Source organism: Homo sapiens, chromosome 12 (genome assembly GCF_000001405.40).
Source record: "Homo sapiens chromosome 12, GRCh38.p14 Primary Assembly".
Lineage (NCBI taxonomy): Eukaryota > Metazoa > Chordata > Mammalia > Primates > Hominidae > Homo > Homo sapiens.
Window position 1 is genome coordinate 80,296,426 of NC_000012.12, and position 23,572 is coordinate 80,319,997.

Genomic DNA, 23,572 nt, shown 5'->3' on the forward strand with positions numbered 1-23,572 from the left:
AAATAATTATTCAGCCAGAAATATCGTTTAAATAAAACAAAAGACATATCTCAAATGAATATTTTTTAAAGATTTCCCTAAGTGACATATTGTTTTGTTGATTATTTATTGATAAATAAAATGATAATGGTTGGTACATTTGAGCTATAGAAATAAAATGGTAAACTTGGCTGGAACAAAATTTTAACAGATATTATAGGTGTTTAAAGATTGAGCTATCCTACTATATTTCTATAGACTTCTTCACATTGTTAGTTAAAAATGACTTTTTATTTTAGAGGTAAGTTGTTTTTCAGTTCTAATGCAATCCATTGTCAATATTTAAGATTTCTTAATAAAAATAACTAAAAATAATATAGGTTGTATATATTTGTATTAATAAAATATTTGTGACATTTCAGAGTGCAGATGATTCAGATATATCTGTCATTGCCCAGAACAAGAAATGCTTTGACAACGATATTGTTTGTTCTAAAAGTGTTTTGATTTCAGTTGGGGACACTGAAATTTACCTGAATGATACTCCTTACAAACAGGTTAGTGAATTATTTCTTTCAGGATCATTTGAACTTGTCCTGAGGATACTGAAAATAGAATAGAAATGATTTGGTCTACTCCTCTCTGTAAATGGTCATGAGATCTATGTTGTGTTTTGTTTTCATTTTGCGTGGCTTCAGTACATTGTGCTTGACTTCTCTCTTCTTACTTCTTACTTCCCTTCTCCATCTTCCAATTCGCTCCTCTTGCTTTCATTCCCATAGTTGCCATTTGGGCCCTTGCAACCCCCACCTATTGCCTTAATTACTTCAGTGGCTTCCAGGCTAGACTCTTGGCTTCTAGTTTTAGTCTTTCCCCTCTTATTCATCCTCACATACTGCAGCATAGGTAGTTTTATTTGTATATGTCTTTTTTTTTTTTTTTTTTGAGACAGAGTCTCACTCTGTTGCCCAGGCTGGAGTGCAGTGGCACGATCTCGGCTCACCTCAACCTCCGCCTCCTGGGTTCCAGCGATTCTCTTGCCTCAGCCTCCTGAGTAACTGGGATTAACATATGCACGCCACCACGCCTGGCTAATTTTTGTATTTTCAGTAGAGACGGGATTTCACCATCTTGGTTAGGCTGGTCTCAAACTCCTGACCTCAGGTGATCCACCTGTCTTGGCCTCCCAAAGTGCTGGGATTACAGGCATGAGCCACCGTGTCCAGCCTTGTATATGTACATTTTTGATGGAAATCTAATATGTCACTCTGGTTCTTCAAGACTTTGAGATGCCTTCCCACTGCTCCCCCAAGGCCTTGCCAGTCTGGCTGTTACCCACCTCTGCTGCCTGCTCTTTCATTACTTTCTGCTTCAAGCCCACATTCCAGAAGGTGGAGCATCTTATTAGTCCTTCATTACTATTATCGCTTCTTCCTGGATCTGTCTTTCAATTTAACTTATTCTTATGCAATATGTCTTATCATACTTCCTCCAGGGAGCTCCTCCTCATACCCTTAAGCACCCTGTTAGAATGTGTATCAAAGTTTAATGAAACTACTTGTGAGCTTGTCTTCCCCAATTGTCTCCAAGTTCTTGTTTATTGTATCCTTGGAGCCTGCCCAATTTAAAAGAATGAATACATTTCATTCATTCATTCATCTCATACTTTTTAAATAATGTTTACTGAATATCAAAATGTGCTAATTATTGGGGCTACAACAGTGAAATAACACTGTGCTTGCCTTTAAGAAGTTTCTGCTCAGGTGAGGGATACATTCAGGTAAATAAGGATGCACATGGTAAATAAGGAAGCATGGTGTCCTATGGTAGGAATTTATGTAGGATAATATGGGAACTCCTGGGAAGAGCACCTAAAGAAACCTGGGGTGCTTAGGGTGATTGTTAAGAGCATAGACTTTAGAGTCACTCAGTACTAACTCGGAACCTCTGTTCCATTACCTGCTTGCTCTGTAACTTTGGGCAGGTTTACTTAACCTCTCCAAGCTGCAGCTTTTACATCTGTAAATTTGGGAAGATTTTAGAACCTACTTCTTTAGTTTGTGTGAGGATTGAAATGCAAATATAAATTAATGGATTTGAAGAAATGATTCTTCTTACCCTCCCTATTTCTGAAGGCTCAGAAGACATGCTCTGGAGGAAATGATTTGCACTGAGTCTTAAAGGATGAGTAGGCATTAGCCAGGTGAAGAGAGGGAGTAGGGTGGCAATCAGTACAGACGAATAAACCCACTCAGTAGAGCAGAGCTGAGAGATGAAATGGCATGTTTGTATAACTGCAGGTGGTTTAGATTGGTGGAAGCACAATATATGGGACAGTGGATGGAGGGAGTGGCAAAGTGACTCAGGGAGGAGTGTCCTGATCAGCTGCCATTCAGGGAGCATGGGGTAAAGGCAATAGATGAGGGGGCTGAGTCCAGACTATGGAGGCTCTTGAATGGTACAAGATATTTGAACCTCATTTTACAGGCAAGAAATTTTAGAGTTAGAAAGTACTAATTTGACAAATGGGCTTTAAAAACTGACCTATATTCTGAGATTTTTAGAGCAGTGTTTCTCTCAGTTTGGTCTCCAAACATTCATTAAAATCATGTGGAATTTTTCTTGTAAGTGCTGGTTTCTGGGCCCTACTTCAGTAATTGGAACGGCTGATGCTGAAAACAAAATTGACATTTTCAATGGTACTTGAAATTCTTGTGCACACTAAAGTTTGAGAACAGTTACCTTAAAACATAACTATGTTTCAGTCAGAAACATTGAAACTAACTGGGTAGCAATCAACCTTTGGGCAAAACAGAGTTTCTACAATCATGTTGACATGTTTTTAAAGTAATTACAGCAGTTTGTCATAAGCACCAACCAGATATTCATTTATAGGTGAAGGTTATTTCTAAGAACAAGGATGTTAAAAAAGAAACAAGAGAAAATAGTAAATGGTCTTATAAAGACAGTATGACACATCTTTGAAGTGGTGATTGCAACTCCACATAACTTTCGACTTCCAATTTTCACTTGTATGTAGGTGTTAATGAATCTCCTTTATATAAACTGTATGACATAAGATTAAGAAAAGTCATAAAAATAGTTTGACCCTAAAGAAATCCCCTGCAATATTTTTTCTCAAACATTGAAAGTGAAAAATAAGCACTATTTATTTTATGGTAGATGGACCATCCATCCAGGGGAAGAAAAAAAAAAAAAACCACCTCTGTTATTTTTATATGTAAATGCACAATTCTAATTTTATCAAATGTATAAGATATAAATATTTTATTAATTTATTTAAGCTGTACTTTAAATATTTTAATTCTCCATAGTTCTAACATATCTTGCTAACATCACTAGAGTTTGTTTAAAGTGCTCTAATTCTCATCTGAAGTGGAGATCTCTATTTTGGACAATTTGTAATACCTCACTGTTCTAATGAGAAGCATTATTTAAGAATCTGAAAAGTAAGGCGTATGGCAACTCCCTTTGACCATAGAGGATTTTCTTGTAGTAAACTGCCCTATCTAATGAAAATGAAGGATTTTATGTCTAAAGACAAGTAGAAAAGATGTGCTTTTGTATCAGGATAACTGATGCAAAACCAAACTGAGCAAAAGAGAAACAAGTCAAAGACAAACAAGGTGATAGAAAGATGCTAAAAAGTGCAGTGAAAACAATAGAATTAGTTTCTGTGGCAGAGACTGACTTGGGGGCAGGGCAAGCTACGTAATTTGGTCAAAACAGGGAAAAAGTTTCATTTTCTTGTTTCATGTTCTGTCTCGATGTGTCGTGGTTTTTTTTTTTTTTAATCATCATTTAATGCTATGCTGACTCAAGCATAGGGATAGTCCTGGGGTGAGAGCACACCCTGTCAGTGCTGAGGGCCTTCCTTGCCTCATAACTCCAACTTGGCACTTGGGTATGCTTGCCTAAGTCCAACTCATCCTGCCTGTGTGCTGCAAGTGGAGCGTAGCAGTGGTCTCTGGGTGGCTGCAGAGAAGCAGGCATCTGAGAATCAATCCAGGGAGATTGGGCGGACAGCAGGAGATGTGAGCCAAGGCTTCAAGGCCCAGACACATGATTCTTTGTCTCATTGAACTTCACTGACAAAACACGAATTCACAGGTAAAATTAGAATTTCAAGATGGCAATTACAGAGCATTAAACCCCAAGAGGGGGCCCACTTCTGAGCAAGGAACCGTCCTTGCTCAGAAGAGCATTGTGCTGTCTTAAATGCCTACCAATCTGGCCCATCTTGAGGATGAAAGTTCTACTGGGGCAATCAGGGAAGGCCTCACAGAGGAGGGAGCATATGGGTCACAATTGATGGGAATGAGGCCATTACGCCAAGATCTGGAGAACAGAGTTCCTAGCAGGAGGAACACCAAGCGCACAGGACTTGAGATGGGTAAAAGCTTAGTTAAATTTGAAGAACAGAAAGAGAGCCAGCATAGCTGAAGCTTAGTCAGTGAGGGTGGGGATTGGGAAGTGGAAGGATATGAGATCAGAGAGAGCCAGTTAACAACACATATGGTTATATACAATATATACTGTTCTATACAATATATTGTGCACCTGTTTTAAGTATGACCTTGGTCTAGGAGACTGAAAACTCCTTATGGATATGACTAAATTTATTTCATTTCCCCTTTGAAATATTGATTAAAAAGTCTACTGTAGTATAGTATTTTCAAACTACGCTTTTGTTATTACTTGAAGGAGAAAAGTAACCAAAGAATTTCATATCTCCTTCATAATTTTATTTTGCCTCTGGCTAAATTTGTCTTACTTACTTTGATGTTAACTGTGCATTTTTGAAGTTATTATATGAGTTAATTTCAAGGTCAGATTCAATATAGCCATGTGTTGCCCTTGCTTATAAAGAATATTGTATATTCCTACTTTACAATAAAGTTCCATCTCTCATTTCTCTCTGCTTTATCCTTTCTCCTGCCTAAATTATCTTCTTTTACTATACAACCATGGTCTAATACTTCCCTGTTTGAAAGCTTTTATTGACTACATTTTGCACATGTGATAATTACTCTGGATAACTTGGTTGCAAACGTCTCAGGCTATGATCCATCATGTAATTCATGCTCTAGCCTTTTGGTACTCTCCTTAGTTCTGAATAAATCTTTGACTTTCTTGTCCCTAAGTCTTGATTCAAGCCATTTCTTTTGTTTGGAAGGATTTCTTCTCCATTCTCATTCCCAAACCCTATACCTTGCTGTGCATAACCTCTTGCAGATCAGTTCACACCCACCCCTTGCAAGAAGCCTTATGGAGTACCTTTGATGGTAATTCACTGCTTCCTGCCCCCCTACACACATACAGTAGTTCCCCCTTATCCATGAGGGTTAGGTCCCAAGACCTCCAGTGGAAGCCTGAAACCATAGATAGTAGCAGACCCAATTGCCATCAATCAGAACATATTTCTGTTCATGCCTTTTACTCACAAATTTAATGCCTTTTCCGTCTTAACTAAGCACTTACCATGTGCTGTGGCTGTCAGTTTTGCAGTTTAATGTGCAGCAGCAAAACTAGCTGAATTTCTTTTCCCTTCTTCACAATTTCACAGATAGAAGATTCCTTCTTACCATAGATCTTAGCAACTGCAGCATACAATTTTTTTTTTCTTTCTTGTTAAGTTGAGAACTTTCCCCTTTTCACTTAAAGGAAGTACTTCACAGCTTCTTTTTGCCTGAATTGGAAAGGCAATGTCTCCTACCAAACTTAATGATTCTGATTTTCAAGACATATTTAATGAAGTCAGTAGACTATTTCCATGCTATCATAAACTACTCAGAAACATGCGCAGGAACAAATTTCTCTCTTTTGCGGGCAAGGCCATACCTTTTTTAGTTCTGTCATATTTATTCATCACAGATGTAAAATTTCTGATTTGGCAGGGATATCACTTAATGTCTTCTGTGTCCATTCCCTTGTTTTGCTCTTCCCCACATGTAACTGAAATATCTTTTCCCTTTTCCCATTTATCCATGTGGGGTCCATCTGCTAGTTCGTGTCTGGTAATCAATATTTATGTATTTCCTATTTTGTGCAATTGTTTTGTCTTTTCTTACAGAATTCAGAAAAGGCATGACCATGCAACAATATTAGTACATAAATAGTTGTTGGTAAATGTTAACTAAACTAATTTGATATATTTTGGTTAGAGAACTTACTACTCACTTTGTTTATTTTCTTTTTTGTTTTTAAGAAACAATCAGGTTTTTTTCTGGAAAACAAATCTACCTACCAGCTTTGGAAGGCTGGTTACTATATAGTAGTATACTTTCCAGAGAAAGATATCACTATTCTTTGGGATAGGAAGACAACTATTCATATCAAAGTTGGGCCACAGTGGAAGGTAGGTCAACCTAAGCTCCAAATGAGATGTAATGAATAAAATCACATTTAGTTTTTGATGTTTGATGAAAATAAAATGATTAATGTTTTCCTTTAAGAACTAGGTTATATTTCCAGAATTACTAACTCATACCCTTGTGAAAAAGAACTTCACCAACTAAGTACAGTGTTTGTGTACAGTTCTTTTTGACTTTAACCTTGCAGTATCCAGTTTTCCAAGATTACTTAAGCCAGCTTTCTTCTTCTCTTTTTCTTCAGCTTAATTATGTGATCTGTTCATAATGCAATTAGATTCAGTTCTTACAAACTGCGTTCCATGTTTTCCTCCACATTCTGGATATATATATTTTTAAGTTTACATGCAGTAAAATTATTATTATTTTTTTTTTTTGAGACGGAGTCTGGCTCTGTCGCCCAGGCTGGAGTGCAGTGGCGCAATCTCAGCTCACTGCAAGCTCCGCCTCCCGGGTTCACGCCATTCTCCTGCCTCAGCCTCCGGAGTAGCTGGGACTACAGGCGCCAGCCACTATGCAGGGCTAATTTTTTGTATTTTTAGTAGAGAACAGGTTTCACCGTGTTAGCCAGGGTGGTCTTGATCTCCTGACCTCATGATCCACCCGCCTCGGCCTCCCAAAGTGCTGGGATTACAGGCGTGAGCCATTGTGCCCAGCCTAAAATTATTTTTTAAATGTAAAAAATGTTACTCTTATTGTGTCTAGGTCTATAGATTTTGACAAATGCATTGTATTAGTCCATTTTCACACTGCTATAAAGAACTACCTGACACTGGGTAATTTATAAAGAAAAGAGGTTTAATTGACTCACAGTTCTGCATGCCTGGGAAGGCCTCAGGGAATGTACAATCATTGTGGAAGGCAAAGGGGAAGCAATCAACTTCTTCAAAAGGTGGCTGGAAAGACAGAAAGAATGAGGGGGAAATGCCACACTTTTTAACCATCAGGTGTCATGAGAACTCCCTCACTATCACAAGAACAGCTTGGGAGAAACCACCCCCATGATCCAATCACCTCTCACCAGGTCCTTCCCTCAACATATGGGGATTGTAATTCGAGGTGAGATTTGGGTGGGGACACAGAGCCAAGCCATGTTATGCATGGAGCCTTGTATCCATCACAACAGTTCTACATAGAACATACCTGTCAACCTCCAAATATACTTCATGTTGCTTCTTTATTGTCAACCCCTACCTTTACCTCCTAACCTCAGACAACCACTGATTATATTTTCCACTGCTATAGTTTTGTCTTTCTCAGATATCATATAAATGGAATTGTACAATCTGTAGTCTTTTGGGTCTGGCTTCTTTGACTTGGCAAAGTATATTTAAGATTCATACAAATTGTTGTGTGAATTCTATACTGTTGAGTAGTATTCTGTTGTGTGGATGTACCACACAATTTATTTATCCATTCATGGTTGAATATCCAATCTGAGTTGTTTATAATTTTTGGCAATTATAAATTATTTTATATACTATTCCCTGCTAAATATTTTTATTAAATATTGTTAGTTTACTATTTAAAATATTTAAAATTTGATTATTTTGAATATTTATTTGAACATTTTAAATTCATGTTTTAAAGTTGTTTGCAAAAACATTGATGTATTTTTTTAAAATTTAGTTTACCTGAAATTGAGACTGAGACTCATGGATATAATTTTTGTCAAAGAAAAATTGGAATAGCAACAATATCTTCTCAAAAATACAGAAAAGATACATTTTTAAAAAAGATTTTAATATGTCATAAATGTGAAATATGATTGTATATTGAAGTTATAGTCTTTCAGTCTTAAGGAGGATAAAGCCCAAAGATCTATTCTTAGGTTTGTTGGCATCTTGAATTTCTCTGATGAATCCAAAATAACCTTCAGTCATTGCTGTCTTTCTTCAATGAATATTCTCTGCCATTCTTCATCTGATATCCTTGTTTCCAGCAAGAATAGCAATATATTTTACTACTAGATGAAGGGGGAGAACTTGCAGTGATGATTTTCTAGAAGCAGTAGAACTACTCCTTAAAACCTTGAATTTAGACATGCTGAATGCTCTCTTCAATATTGAAGAATGGAATCTATCCCTTAATGGAGAAGTAGGCTGCCTATGTCTCTGGCAAAGCAGACAATAACCTTAGAATTACATCTGCCATAGCCACTTATTACCATGGGACCTCTGTTTTCAGAAATCATATCTGTTCAGACAGAGGCCACTACTAACAGTAGTTATCCTAAAGCTGAGGCATCAGGAAGGGGGATGTGGAAAAACAAATGGTTAACTTGTTTCTAACAGGCAGGCAATATGATATATTCCAACAAGTAGGGAATATATCTGCCATTCTTCATCCATATCCTTGTTTCTAACAAGGATGGGAATATATATAATTATGAATTACATATGTATATATATATACACATGAATTCTGTGTATACACACATATACATTTGCATACACATACACTCTCATATGTACTGTCTTGTTTGAATTATACTTTTCAAAGTTATTTATGTTATTAGTTGTATTAATGCTAAGACACTGGTAAGTGTGGATAAATAGGACTTGAAATCAGGTAAAATATTTTTGCAAATTTAAAATAATCACAAAATATAATTAAATTGGTATGAGAAAATCCACTTTCTTCAAGTTAATTTTTAAAAATGATTGCTGTGAAAATGCTTAAATATATATTTGAAATGTCTCAAAAGTTTTAATGAATATGAGTCTTTAAATGTTAAAGTGAAAACAGAATATTTCCTGGTGATTTTCTCTTACTTTAGAACAAGCTATCAGGATTGTGTGGAAACTTTGACAAATGCACTTCAAATGATATGACCACATCTAATAACTTGGAAGTGAGAAATGCTCGGGTATTTGGAGATAGTTGGGCATTAGGACAGGTAAGTTACATAAATGTATTTTAGAAGTCAACAAAAATTTTTAAGAATATTTTTTCACTAGAACATTTTATTCTTATTTAGGTAATATTATTTTACATACTATTTTCATAGTAATTTATAGCTGATAAACATTCATATTTATCTTCTCATGTAATTTTTCTGATTACCTTATCATATAAAGGATGTTTTCTCCTTAGTATAGATGAAGAAATTGAGGCTCAGGGAGGTTAAATGAGTTGTCTAATATTATATGGTTAGAAAGTAGCAGAGGTGACATTCAAATTCATCTCTTCACCCTCATGTTTTCCTCACCATAGCAAAATGCCAATCAATGTATCTGCATTTCGAAGGATGATGGAACTTTTGCCAGTTCAAAGCAATAAATAAATGAAGACAAAATTTCTTAACAGCCATGTTACTGTATTACATGAAATAAAGGGAGACACGTGTATATGTGTGTGGGTGGGTGGATTGTGGTCAACTACCTTTGGCAGCAGTTGGCTAAATTAATTTTTGCATATTTCTCTTTCAAAGGTTTCTTGAGGCATTATAAGCCTATAAAGAAGGGACATGTCTGAAGGATTTTCCAAACTTACTGACATAATATATATTTTTATTTATTAATTCTCAAGGAAGTAGTGTTATATGAAACACATTTTGAAAAATGCTGAACTCAGAAAACAGAGTCAAATTGGAAATTGGTTCTATTCTTTCCTCTACTTTCTTTTTAGCCTGTTGTTCTTTTCAATTGATAAGAGTGTTTGAAACCACAATTTCCTGATTGGTTACCATTTGGTTAGTTACTTCTCTACTTTGCCTAGTTTACTAATATGTCTAAATCTCTTTAAAGAATAAAGAAGGGATGGGGTAAAACATTTATTCCAGTCAGTAATTTTTGAGTGTGGTCTAAGCTTAAGAGTATGAAAGTGTACCTTTTAATATCTAAAATATCCACTATATTGAGAGAGACAAAATCCTTTTAACTGTGGCTATCTTACATCTTGTTACCTTTAGAAGTTTTGAAAAAAATCGTTTTACATTCTTCTCTCTGCAAATGAATTAAGAAGTAACTATTTCTTTTTTTTTTTTAAATTTTATTTTATTATTATTATTATTATTATTATTTTTTAATTGATCATTCTTGGGTGTTTCTCGCAGAGGGGGATTTGGCAGGATCACAGGACAATAGTGGAGGGAAGGTCAGCAGATAAACAAGTGAACAAAGGTCTCTGGTTTTCCTAGGCAGAGGACCCTGCGGCCTTTCCGCAGTGTTTGTGTCCCTGATTACTTGAGATTAGGGAGTGGTGATGACTCTTAACGAGCATGCTGCCTTCAAGCATCTGTTTAACAAAGCACATCTTGCACCGCCCTTAATCCATTCAACCCTGAGTGGATACAGCACATGTTTCAGAGAGCACAGGGTTGGGGGTAAGGTCACCGATCAACAGGATCCCAAGGCAGAAGAATTTTTCTTAGTACAGAACAAAATGAAAAGTCTCCCATGTCTACCTCTTTCTACACAGACACGGCAACCATCCGATTTCTCAATCTTTTCCCCACCTTTCCCCCCTTTCTATTCTACAAAACCGCCATTGTCATCATGGCCCGTTCTCAATGAGCTGTTGGGTACACCTCCCAGACGGGGTGGTGGCCGGGCAGAGGGGCTCCTCACTTCCCAGTAGGCGCGGCCGGGCAGAGGCACCCCTCACCTCCCGGACGGGGCGGCTGGCCAGACGGGGGGCTGACCCCCCCCACCTCCCTCCTGGACGGGGTGGCTGGCCGGGCAGAGGGGCTCCTCACTTCCCAGTAGGGGCGGCCGGGCGGAGGCGCCCCTCACCTCCGGGACGGGGCAGCTGGCCGGGTGGGGGGCTGACCCCCCAACCTCCCTCCTGGACGGGGCGGCTGGCTGGGCGGGGGGCTGACCCCCCCACCTCCCTCCTGGATGGGACGGCTGGCCGGGCAGAGTGGCTCCTCACTTCCCAGTAGGGGCGGCCAGGCAGAGGCGCCCCTCACTTCCCGGACGGGGCGGCTGGCCGAGCGGGGGGCAGACCCCGCCACCTCCCTCCCGGACGGGGTGGCTGGCCGGGCAGAGGGGCTCCTCACTTCCCAGTAGGGGCGGCCGGGCAGAGGCACCCCTCACCTCCCGGACAGGGCGGCTGGCCGGGCGGGGGGCTGACCCCCCCACCTCCCTCCCTCCCGGACGGGGCGGCTGGCCGGGCGGGGGCTGACCCCCCCACCTCCCTCCCGGACGGAGCGGCTGGCCGGGCAGAGGGGCTCCTCAGTTCCCAGTAGGGGCGGCCGGGCAGAGGCGCCCCTCACCTGCCGGACGGGGCGGCTGGCCGCGCGGGGGGCTGATCCCCCCACCTCCCTCCCGGACGGGGCGGCTGGCCGGGTGGGGGGCTGACCCCCCCACCTCCCTCCCGGACGGGGCGGCTGGCCGGGCGGGGGGCTGACACCCCCACCTCCCTCCCGGACGAGGTGGCTGCCGGGCGGAGACACTCCTCACTTCCCAGACGGGGTGGCTGCTGGGTGGAGGGGCTCCTCACTTCTCAGACGGGGCGGCTGCCGGGCGGAGGGGCTCCTCACTTCTCAGACCGGGCGGTTGCCAGGCAGAGGGTCTCCTCACTTCTCAGACGGGGCGTCCGGGCAGAGACGCTCCTCACATCCCGGACGGGGCGGCAGGGCAGAGGTGCTCCCCACATCTCAGACGATGGGCGGCCGGGCAGAGATGCTCCTCACTTCCCAGATGTGATGGCGGCCGGGAAGAGACGCTCCTCACTTTCCAGACTGGGCAGCCAGGCAGAGGGGCTCCTCACATCCCAGACGATGGGCGGCCAGGCGGAGACGCTCCTCACTTCCCAGACGGGGTGGCGGCCGGGCAGAGGCTGCAATCTCGGCACTTTGGGAGGCCAAGGCAGGCTGCTGGGAGGTGGAGGTTGTAGCGAGCCGAGATCAGGCCACTGCACTCCAGCCTGGGCACCATTGAGCACTGAGTGAACGAGACTCCGTCTGCAATCCCGGCACCTTGGGAGGCCGAGGCTGGCGGATCACTCGCGGTTAGGAGCTGGAGACCAGCCCGGCCAACACAGCGAATCCCCGTCTCCACCAAAAAAATACAAAAACCAGTCAGGTGTGGCGGCGCGCGCCTGCAATCGCAGGCACTCGGCAAGCTGAGGCAGGAGAATCAGGCAGGGAGGTTGCAGTGAGCCGAGATGGCAGCAGTACCGTCCAGCTTCGGCTCGGCATCAGAGGGAGACCGTGGAAAGAGAGGGAGAGGGAGACCGTGGGGAGAGGGAGAGGGAGAGGGAGAGGGAGAGAAGAAGTAACTATTTCTAATGGTACTTAAATATCTGGAGTAGTCAAATAATTTTAAACCGCCTCAAAATAAATTTTTTATTCATACCTGATAGACAAGGCTAAAATTCAGGTCATTTAAAAAATTCACTAATTTTTATTTAGCACTTAATGTTTTCCATTACATACAGACACATAATATGGATAAATCACAGTCTTTGCCTTTAAGGAATTTAGAGTCTAGAGGTGGAAAATTTCGAGGTGGAAAAATTAACAGTCGGAACATAGTAAGATAGTTGCTTTGATAGAAGTGCACACAAAGTGGGGATTGTGATGGTCCAAGAAAGGTTCCTGGAGAAGGTACCCTGCAGGTGAATCTTATAAGATTTATAGGAGCTAAGAAAGTGAAATTTATGGGAAAGAATTTAACAGGGAAAGGAGGGAGCAGCCACCTAGAAGATGTCAAGAGGCTGGAGAGAGTGTGGTGCACAAAGTGAATTTCAAAAAGTTAATTTTGGTTGTGGTGTAAGGTCTGAAATACAGAATAGCTGAAGTGCAAAGTATAGATCTGCAAGATACAAGGGCCAAGAGGCTCTTATAATCCAGCTAGAAATATTAAGTCAGTAGAGATTTAAGACTGTATTAGGAAGGATGAATTTGGAGGTTCCAAGAAGGTCTCCTACTTTCCTGGCTTCCTGGGTGGATACTGGTGTTCCTTCCTGAGGCAGGGCAAAGAGGAGGAAATGAATGTGGATAGTCGGGGAAGGACAATGGTGTAGAGGTAGGGATGATTAGGATCTGCTGAGAGAGAAATGACAGATATATTTAGGTGGAAATGTTAGTTCTGAAATTCAGGAAGGAGATGTGGGATGGACATAGGGATATGGCAGTGACTAGTATATTCAGGGCGTTGAAGCCAGGACGCGTGTACCGAATGAGAAAAATAGAGGTTTGAGGATTAAGCTTTGCAAAGAGAGGAGGGAGAACGAGATTAGGGAACAGCAGCCAATGTAGCAAGAGGAAACCCAGCAGAAAATTGTGTCACCAAAACCAAATGAGGAGAGACATTTAAGAAGGGTAAAGTATTAAATAGAATCAGAGGCAGCAAAAGTCAAGCAAAATGGAAGACTGAAAAATTGCCTTTATATTTAACAATGAAGAGGTCATGGATGACATTTTTCAGGGCAGTTTCAGGGAAGGGTATTAGGGGAGGAAGAGGCCAAATTGCTGCATGTGTGGGAATTGAGTCTGCAGAGACTTGGGTGCATATAACCTCTCAGATGATTTGTGACAGAAATGAAGAAGATGAAGATGAAAGAAACAGGTCATGCTCATGTAATTTTTTAAGTCATGCAAATGCTGTGTTTAAGACAATTTAAAAATCATTCATCACCACTCTATCTCTAATATTGCTATGATTTTAATATTCTGTTTAGTTGCTTTCAAAAATAATATATGCAATTAACATTGAATAGGATGTGAGCAGGTGCTTTACGCAAATCCTATCTAAAAGGATGAGAATATATTAGGCGCAATTGTAATGAGTGAAGTTGGGTAGGTTACTCTGTTTGAGAAATTGTCCCTTTGAAAACTTCTTTTCTCTCTTAAATTTTTTCAACAGTGTGAAAGTCCAGATGAAACAATTAAACCCTGTGAGGCACATCAAAACAAATTTCCTTATGCCAAGAAAGAATGCTCCATTTTGTACAGTGATATTTTTGCTTCTTGTCGCAATGTGGTAAATGAATACTTTAATGAACTCTCGAGTTTCAATATGTTCTACTGTGTCTATAATACTGAGGTGAACACGACACGTAACTGGGTGATCCACTGGCTTTTTAGATATACCACCTAACTATTGTTAGGGGGGCATATGTGTTAGTTTGTTTTTCTGTAGAAGTGGCACATTTAGTTGATTTACTTTCTCCCTTACTACATCTAATTTAACAGTGTACCTTTGTACGTATTTGTAATAATTTGTTCTAGTTTATGGAACATTATTTACATACATCATTTTATGATTAAGAGCATAAATGTTTACTTTTCTTTAGAGAACATTGTCAAATGGGTATTCTTCTCAACTCAAAGTGCAGTTTAAAAGTATTGCTTGTAGCACATTTGAAATGTTTTTAGAAGCACATCCCAAGATGGAATGTACTTATTTAGAAATTTCGTTTTCAAAATTCCTTCCTAGCATGATTATTTTAGGTCCCAATAGAAGTTTAAGCAATATTTCAATGTATTGGTAAGAATTAAGTAATATTTCTGCTGCATACAAAGCTATGCCAGTGGTCTTGAGGGAACTCACTTGTATGATTGTTTGACTTGTGAGCTAAGATGTTGTTTTTCTCTTGGAATACCATTCTGTTTCAAAGAACAAATGATATATGGTTATTCAGACATTCAGACAGGGATATTTGGCAGATATTTTCTTTCTTTCTTTCTTTTTATGAGATGGAGTCTTGCTCTGTCATCCAGGCTGGAGTGCAGTGGCATGATGTTGGCTCACTACAACCTCTGCCTCCTGGATTCAAGCGATTCTCCTGCCTCAGCCTCCCGAGTAGCTGGGATTGTAGACGGCAAATTTTTCTATTTTTAGTAGAGACCGGGTCTCGCCATGTTGGCCAGGCTGGTCTGGAACTCCTGACCTCAGATGATCTGCCCACCTCTGCCTCCCAAAAGGCTGGGATTACAGGCGTGAACCACTGCGCCCGGCAGATATTTTATTAAAATGTGTGAAATGAGTCCGTGTCTTTAAGGAAACACCTGATGGTGTCTGTTGTCTTTGATAAAATTTACTTTCAAGGGAAAATTAGAGTTTTGTAAAAGTTAGATCCACCCCTGCGAGCTTATAAGGTTTTTGATACTTAATGAGTTTTTTGTTGATCTAGATGGTGATATTAACAAATGTGACTTGTAGCTATTGTATATAATCAAGTGTGTCAACATTTCGAAGATCTGCACGGGTCCATAAATTTTCCACATGACCAATGCATGATGTTACAAAATCATGCAGAAGTAAAAAATTCATTCAAAGGGCGAAATAAAAAACAATTTTAATATAGCAAAATATAAAGTTAATTGATGTGTTTTTAGATTTCACATTGCAAAGAACTTTTTAAAAAATGATATTTTTTGAGTTTTGATATAGTGTCAAAGAATATCACAATTACCTGAAAAAGATATTAAAGTACTCCTTCCTTTCCAACTAAATATATGCATGGAACCGAATTTTCTTCATCTATGTCAATCCAAACCCAAACAAGACAAAAACATTACGATAGACCGGATGAAGAAGCAGATATGAGAATCCCCCAGTGTGCTATTAAGCCACACATTAAAGAGATTTGCAAAAATGTAAAACAGTGCACTCTTTTCACTATTTCTTAGCATATATAAATATTTTTCAATAAAATCATGTTATTCATGTAAACATATAGGGTTTATTGTTATTTTTAAATGTCTCATTTTTAATGTCTAATAGAGTAAATATTGGTAGATATAATCCCATAAACAAAACCTCTTTGGGGATCTCAGTGATTTTTTAAGAGTGTAAAGGGATTCTGAGACAGAAAAGTTTGAGGACTGCCATATTAGAGCCACATAGGTAGACTAAAGTCTTGTTTATAAAAAGGGTTGCTTTTGAGACTTTTCAGAGTTTCCAAGGACCACACCTGCTTGACAAGGAATATTGTGTCAAGTCTGGAGTCCTGAACCACAGAGCCTGCTGGTTCTTTTCCACTTGAAAAGAAAAATTAACCCATGAACTGACCTAAAAAATAAAATACAGCTCAGTGACAGCAAATCCTGCTTCTTTTCTTCTTCTTCTTCTTTTTTTTTATTTGAGACAGAGTCTCTGTCGCTCAGGCTGGAGTGCAGTGGTGCGATCTCAGCTCACTGCAACCTCCGCCTCCCGGGTTCAAGTGATTCTCCTGCCTCAGCCTCTTGAGTCCCTTGCTCCTTTTTTAATGCACTGTCAATATATTAAATTTTGTCAGCTACTTAAATGTAATGCAAATAAATAAATTAAGTAAATAGAATAAGTTGTTTTTAAAGATTGCTATTACCATTAATAGCCATTAGGATGTTGCATGAGCAGGGGCAAAAAAGAAAGGAAAGAAGGAAGAAAGATACGAAATTATATAAAATTACAATTGGAAGCAGAAGGTGCCCTTATTTTAATGTCATGTGATTACATCAATAATGACAGAAGCTTCCAAAAATTAATCTGTTATATTGCAGATGTTGAAGTCATATATATTTATTAATCTTATTATTTCTTTTGCTAGTTCTTTGATGTGACATTTTCCTAATACATTTCTTTCTCCTTTGGGCAATAAAGAGGCTTTAAATAAAGAGAACTCTCTAGGTGGCAGTGTTAAGCTGATAATATCAAACTTTGAAAACACATAGTTTTTTAGACGGTTGACTTTAAATCATAATCAGTATCTATTGAAATTAAGTAATCTTTCACCTCATTTTTCAGATTGACGTTACTTCTTTTGCCAAAAATTGTCATGAAGATACATGTAACTGCAATCTTGGTGGCGACTGTGAGTGTTTGTGCACTAGTATAGCTGCATATGCATACAAGTGTTGTCAGGAAGGAATATCAATTCATTGGAGATCATCTACTGTTTGTTGTAAGTACCCTACTTAGAACATCATTATGTAGAGAACTGATAAAGAGATACATATTAATTGTTGATTTAGCTTAGAAATAATGCCAGGAGACTCATGGGAATAGAATTAAATTAAAATGACTAAATTTTATATTCCTTTGACAATCATAAATTATAGAATACCGAAAGGACTTATAAAAATAAATTGTGAGATAATATTTTGTTCTGTGTTTTATTGCTGTCATTGTACCATTTGAAATATAAATTATTTAAATACCATCCTTAGAGAAATTGTTTATGACTTTATTTCTTTTATGCCTATGAAGTTTCATCGTTCTGATGATAAATATATTTTAAAAAAATCACCTTGAATTTGCTTTCAGATTTGACTCTTTAAGCTTTTAATTTACTTGTGTAGGTGGTAAGATATCTGAACAAACTTACAATTTGAACACTTTCAGCTGAGGTTTCTAAATTGGCAATATATTTTCCTACTTTAAAACAATTATATGAAATTTAATTAATTACAGCATATCGCTTAAAGAATCTTCTTTGCTCAGAAAAAGTTCCTAAATAATACCATTTTATATTCTTTCACATAGTTATTGATAAATATGTGGCCATATCTTGCCCACATTCAGATAAGTGATTGACTTCTTACATAGTTTAATATTTATTCTTTTTTTCTTTTAGCACTTGATTGTGAATACTACAATGAAGGTATGTGACATTCAAATTAAAAATATCACTATAGTATTCTATTAGGTGTATTTTCATATTAAAAATTTTTGAACAACTTATGCTGTGAACAAACTATAAATAGTTCATAACTATATAACTCCATAAAAGCTTTTAATTTTTAAAATTTTCAAAAATTTCTCAGTATTTGTGTTAAGATTTATTTCCTGAAAACTAAAATAGTGTGTAACTTAAGTTCTCAGAATTTAAGAGGCCCTCAGTACAGTTTTGGAATGACATGAATGAATGGGTGGGTGAAGTTAGTTAATTTTTTAGATAAAAAGGATGAAAGATCTATAACAAATGCATACCTTTACCATTATTTATAAATGTAAACATTGTTCAAATGTTTTTTAAAATTTTATCTTATTTTTAAATTGACAAATATAATTGTATATATTTATGGGGTACAATGTAGTGTTTTGATACATGTACACATTGTGGAATGATCAAATCAGGCCAATTAGCATATCCATCACCTCAAATATTTACCATTGCTTTGTGGTAAGAACATTTGAAATTCTTTCTTTTAGCTATTCATTCTTTAAAAACCAAGAAATTCTATCATTTGCAACAACACGGATGAACCTAGAGAACATTATGCTAAGTGAAGTAAGTCAGGCACAGTGAGACAAATACCATATGATTTCACTTATTTGCAAAATCCAAAAAAGTTGAATTTTTAGAAGTAGAGAATAGAATGGTGGTTACTGGAGGCTAGTGGTTGGGAAGTGGGCAGGGAAAGGGCAGATGTTGGTCAAAGGGCACAAAGTTTCAGCTAGGTAGGAGGAATAAGTTCTGGTATCTATTACACAGCGTGGTGACTATATTCACAATTTTCTTATGTTGTGGAAATCAAAGAAACAAAGTATAAATGCAGTGACATAAGAAATAATGTAAGGAATTTATTTTGCCATCATTGTAGGCAAAAGTCATTCTTACATATTACCAGGATAAGAACTTATTGATACAATAATAATGAAAATCTTCTAATCTCAGCAAACATCCAGATTTGCAATAAGAAATCTGAGAGGTGCTGCTGTCTAAAACTAAGGTATAGATGTAAGAAGAGACAGAGAATTACATTTTTAGTGAAATTACTTGAAGATAGCAGAATTGGAGTCTTTTTGCAAATCTATTTAATGAGGAAGGCGCAGGCCTCAAAACCTAATTCAGACAAGTAAGGTGATCTAGGGAAGTATCCATTTTGTCAGTAAATGGGTGAACTCTGGATCCATGATGGATGTGTCAGTTAGAATAATAGTTACAGGAAATCTTGGCCAAGCAACCAATCTGAGGCACTTCAGGTGGCTTGTTGGAGAAATTTGTCAGCTAGATAATTTTAGAGAAAAAGAGATAATGAATTAAAAAGAAAATGGGCATTTTTGATTTTAGTTGTATTTGTTACATTTATAGAAGTTTGATAGAGGAGGAAAATTCAACATTAAAAAATATCTGTGGTAGTTAAAGAAAATCGAACTAAAATTATGTCCTGTTCAAGATTTTAAAGAGACTGCCACACACGTGCATGCATACACGCACACACAAACACACACTTCACATCAATCTTTGGATTCCATAATTAAAATGTGATTTATTGTCTAATAATAACAACAGTAGCTTTTGTTGTGTTAACTGCTTTCTCTAGATCATATAATTTAAACTTCAAAATATGTCATTATTTTATTTTATTATCTGCATTTTGCTATTATCAACACTTTCAGAGGAAATTGAAGCAGAGAGAGATTAAATAGCTTTGCCAAATTCACTTGGCCAAAATGTGGCAAACTGGGATTTGTGAACAATTTGGCTTCAGGGCCAGTGAGCATGACCTCCATGCTACGTGGCCTACTGTATGGTTAATACATCCTAGTGTAGGGATGATCACCGCACATTGTCATCACAGGTTCTACATAATGTGCACAGACAACAATCTGAGAAAATGCTCCAATAACTTCCTCACTCAAAAATTCCTGTCACACCCAGTTCTGTTATGACAATCTCCATCTGTGCCTTTGTATTTTCTGGCATTTCTCCTGCAGACTTGTGGACCCAGAAGCAGAATTTTCTATGCATATTGAATCTCTCTACCTCTTGCTACTTGCTACATTTTGCTCTCTGTTAACAAGTCTGCTGAGCTTCTAGTGATGGTTCATTCTTCTAATGTGTTACAGAATCCTTCAAACCTGTTCTTCTAGTTTCATTTGTAATACCGTATTGATAATATCAGAGCATGAACATGGGGCATTTGGCCTTTGTGAGACACTGTTTGGCTCCATGGAGTGGCAGGCAAATAAATTTACTATGATCAAAGTAATGGAGAAACGCATCAATGTGCCAAGGGGCGTCAGAATTTGTAAAAGCAATGCAACAGTGATAGACGTTGAAGGGGAATATAAAACTGTGATGATTGTGGAAAGTGATAATAAATAGAAAATAATTCTAAATGGTTATTCTTAATTTGTTTCATCCCAAATAAATTTCACAGCTATCATAAATTTACCTAGTCCTTTTTGGGCATTTATAGCTGGCATATTTCTACCTGTCTTTATTTGTTACATGCCAGACACTATGTTATTAAGATACTTATAATATTTAAAGCACATACATAAATAAGTAATTGTGATTCTGTAGGAAGAATTTTAAAAAGTAGTAGAAGAATTCAAAGGTTATTGCTGAGATTATTTCAATAATCTTTAGCACAATGATTCTATATAATATGTTTGTGTTCATTTATATGACTTTTACTAAAAATGTAAAGCTTGCATTTGAAATGCTATTTCTGTAGGTGAGGGAGAACTTCAGTTTCCTACTAAAAATTGTTATGTGAGTTTTAAGTTCAGGGTAATTTTATTAGATAGGATATGCTTATTTCTGTTTTTAAAGAATCACTGCAGGAAATGATTGCTTTCAGTAGATGGTGAAATTATACTTCTCCATGCAGAAAATTAATGATAAGATCAATGACTTTTGTCTCCCAGTTGCTGGTGAAAATAGTCCAGAATCAAGCTACCAATTAACTGAGAGTCAATTCAAAAGCTTTAGGTTTTTATACAAACAGATTTCTTGTTGGCAATTGTCTCTTCAGGTTGCTGTATTAAGGGGTGTGTGCAGCAGGGGAGAGATTTTGTTTCTCTGTCTCCTTTCTCATTCTTATGTTGAATATTCATGAGGGTGCTTCAAGTCCTCAAGTTGTAGTTGCATACACATCTTCTCCATTCTGAATTGTATCTCATTATAATTCACTTATTATTTGTATATTATTCACATATTTGTACAAATCTACATATTTATACTTTGAAGTATATTTGCATCTTGGAGGTTTTTGTCACTTTCCTCTTGTCCATGCTAGAAAATTAGCCATTACCAGGTAGAGACTATTGCTATAATTTTCTTTGGTCCTCCTGTATTTTGGCTCATGGAGAAACACTGCATTTGTAACATTTGTAACCATGGTGGTGAGTCTCCTGCAGCCAGGCTAAGAAAAATTGTCCACTGTTTCTGCTCAGCTCCACCTTGATGTGGGGGCAAAGCTGTTTCAGGTTTCTATCTCTCTACAGGGTACCAAAGTCCCTAGTGAAGCTCTTTTTCTCATAGTTTATAAGGGTCCCCAGCTGCTCAATGGTGCTGTGTCCCAGATGATGGGTCAGTGAGGAGATTACACTTGAAAATAATGTATCCTCTCAGTCTTTTTGTTCTTCTCCTTGTCCTTGTGATGGAAATTTTGGTTCTCCTTCCCCTTTCCTAATTGGAAGACTTCTTATCCCTCCAATCCAATTATCCTTTCCCCTTTATTTAGGCCCGGTCTTAAGTCCTTAAGGGGAAAAAAGTCTTGCCCTTATATTCTTTGAATCTTTTTTCTCCTTCTTCAGCATGTATTGAGTTAAATTGGCTTTGAGGTAAAACTGGGAGAAGAGGGAAAGTAAAATACACTGAGTGCAGTAAGATTAAACCTTTATGAAACAACTGATCACGTGTATATCAACATTTTGCATAACCTACAACACGAACATCTACATATACATCATTATATATATAAATCATTATTTTTGAAGAATTCAGTTATTTTATTAGTGATAAATTTTTAATTGCTCAATTTTTGAAGTATTTTGTTATTAAAACATTTCTTTGAAATGACAGATTGAAATTTTAAAAATCTATGCCAATTTATAATTCTAATATTTATATTTAACTAGGACTTGGAGAAGGACCATATATGCTGGCAAGCTATGGGCAGAGTGGCCTTGTTCTGGGGGCCAATATGACCAGCAGAAGCGTTTTCTGTTTGCCGAGAAGCAGTGTTCATACCAGTTTATTTTTTTATTTTATGATCACTCCAGGCCTTTTCAAAGAGAAGGTATCATGTAAGTATAATTGAAAATAAGAGTTTAGCTTTCCAATTACATTTTAAAATTTAGCCACTCAGTAAATATTAATTGAGAATCTAATATGTTTATGGTATTTTTTAAAAGTGCTCTAAAGCATATGAAATAAAATATAACATTGGCATATCAGCCAGCTTTCTCTTTTGTATACAAAATCATTTCTTTGTTTATTTATTGGCATATATATATTAGAATTGCAAATGTTTGAGTTTTTGGTTTTAAATAAAATATAGCTAAAATTTTCATAGTATTAATCACAGAACTTAATTTGATGTTTTTGAAAAACCATCCACTGATTCTTAATATTTGAAAGGTTTTATGCCCCCAAAAGTAAAAGCAAATTGTGAATTGATACCAAAGAAGTTCTACATGAAGAGCATAAATCAGAGTGTAGACAGTCATTGTGACAGTCTGTTATTCTGTTATCCTTACCTGCCTTGTCTGTCCTAGTTCCTGGACATGTCCTCAGTGCCCTGAACCTAGCTCTACATTTACTGGTTTGCACCTGCAGGTCTGTACTGGTTGTATCCACCTGGCACCTGTTCTGATTGGTGGTAGTTTCCCTTCTGATCCAGTGATGTTCAGGCTACCTCATGTCTACATAAGTCTACCTGGAACCATGCATGACATGTTGTATAAGCTTAGGAATTTATTTGTTGGATGAATCAATCAGACTTAACTTTCGCTTATTCTGAGAATGCTCACAATTCTCCAGTTAGAATAAATTATATATTTCCTGTAAAAAGAACTCTCTTAGTTCTGAAAACACCTATCACCATCAAGTTCTAAATTACGCTGGTTACATTTTTTTCTCATGTAAAAATTTATTATTCTTGGCATCTTTTGGTGCTCAGCAGAAGAACTTAAATTTTACAACATGATAAATGCCTTTGAAATAATATTGAATTTGGGAGAGCTCTTGATTTTACGATTAGTAATAACTAATGATTTTACTAGAAAAAATCCAAATAATGTTTATTGAAGAAAATCAACCTAAAATAATCTCAATTTAAAAACTTTTATTTCATGAGTTTTACAAATATAAGGTAAATGTTAAAAGCTCTAGCTGAAAAAGGGTGATAATTTTTCAATGCTTTGTAAAGCTCATTAGCCATTTGGTCATCTTTTGGGAAATGGACAATAATGTTGGATAAATAGTCTCTTCTTGGTGCAGTAAGATCTCTTTCAAGAACATTTGCTCATTAAAAGAGCCCTGTGATACTGAAATGCAGTTACATCCCTAAATTGATCTATTTCTGTATT

The 23,572-nt window shown here is 37.7% G+C and overlaps 1 protein-coding gene across 7 annotated transcripts in view; it reads left to right on the forward strand.

Annotated features, from left to right (window-relative positions):
* OTOGL (otogelin like) overlaps positions 1–23,572 on the forward strand; it is a 281,344-nt gene that overhangs the window by 196,889 nt on the left and 60,883 nt on the right. For 6 of the 7 annotated variants that reach the window (NM_001378610.3, NM_001378609.3, XM_005268802.4 and 3 more), the window contains 7 exons: positions 402–536; positions 6,209–6,358; positions 9,151–9,270; positions 14,186–14,302; positions 17,051–17,207; positions 17,880–17,906; positions 22,121–22,288. In NM_001378610.3, the coding sequence (NP_001365539.2) occupies positions 402–536; positions 6,209–6,358; positions 9,151–9,270; positions 14,186–14,302; positions 17,051–17,207; positions 17,880–17,906; positions 22,121–22,288 (874 nt within the window). The remainder of the gene's footprint in view (positions 1–401; positions 537–6,208; positions 6,359–9,150; positions 9,271–14,185; positions 14,303–17,050; positions 17,208–17,879; positions 17,907–22,120; positions 22,289–23,572) is intronic. The other variant, NM_001368062.3, reaches the window with a different exon arrangement.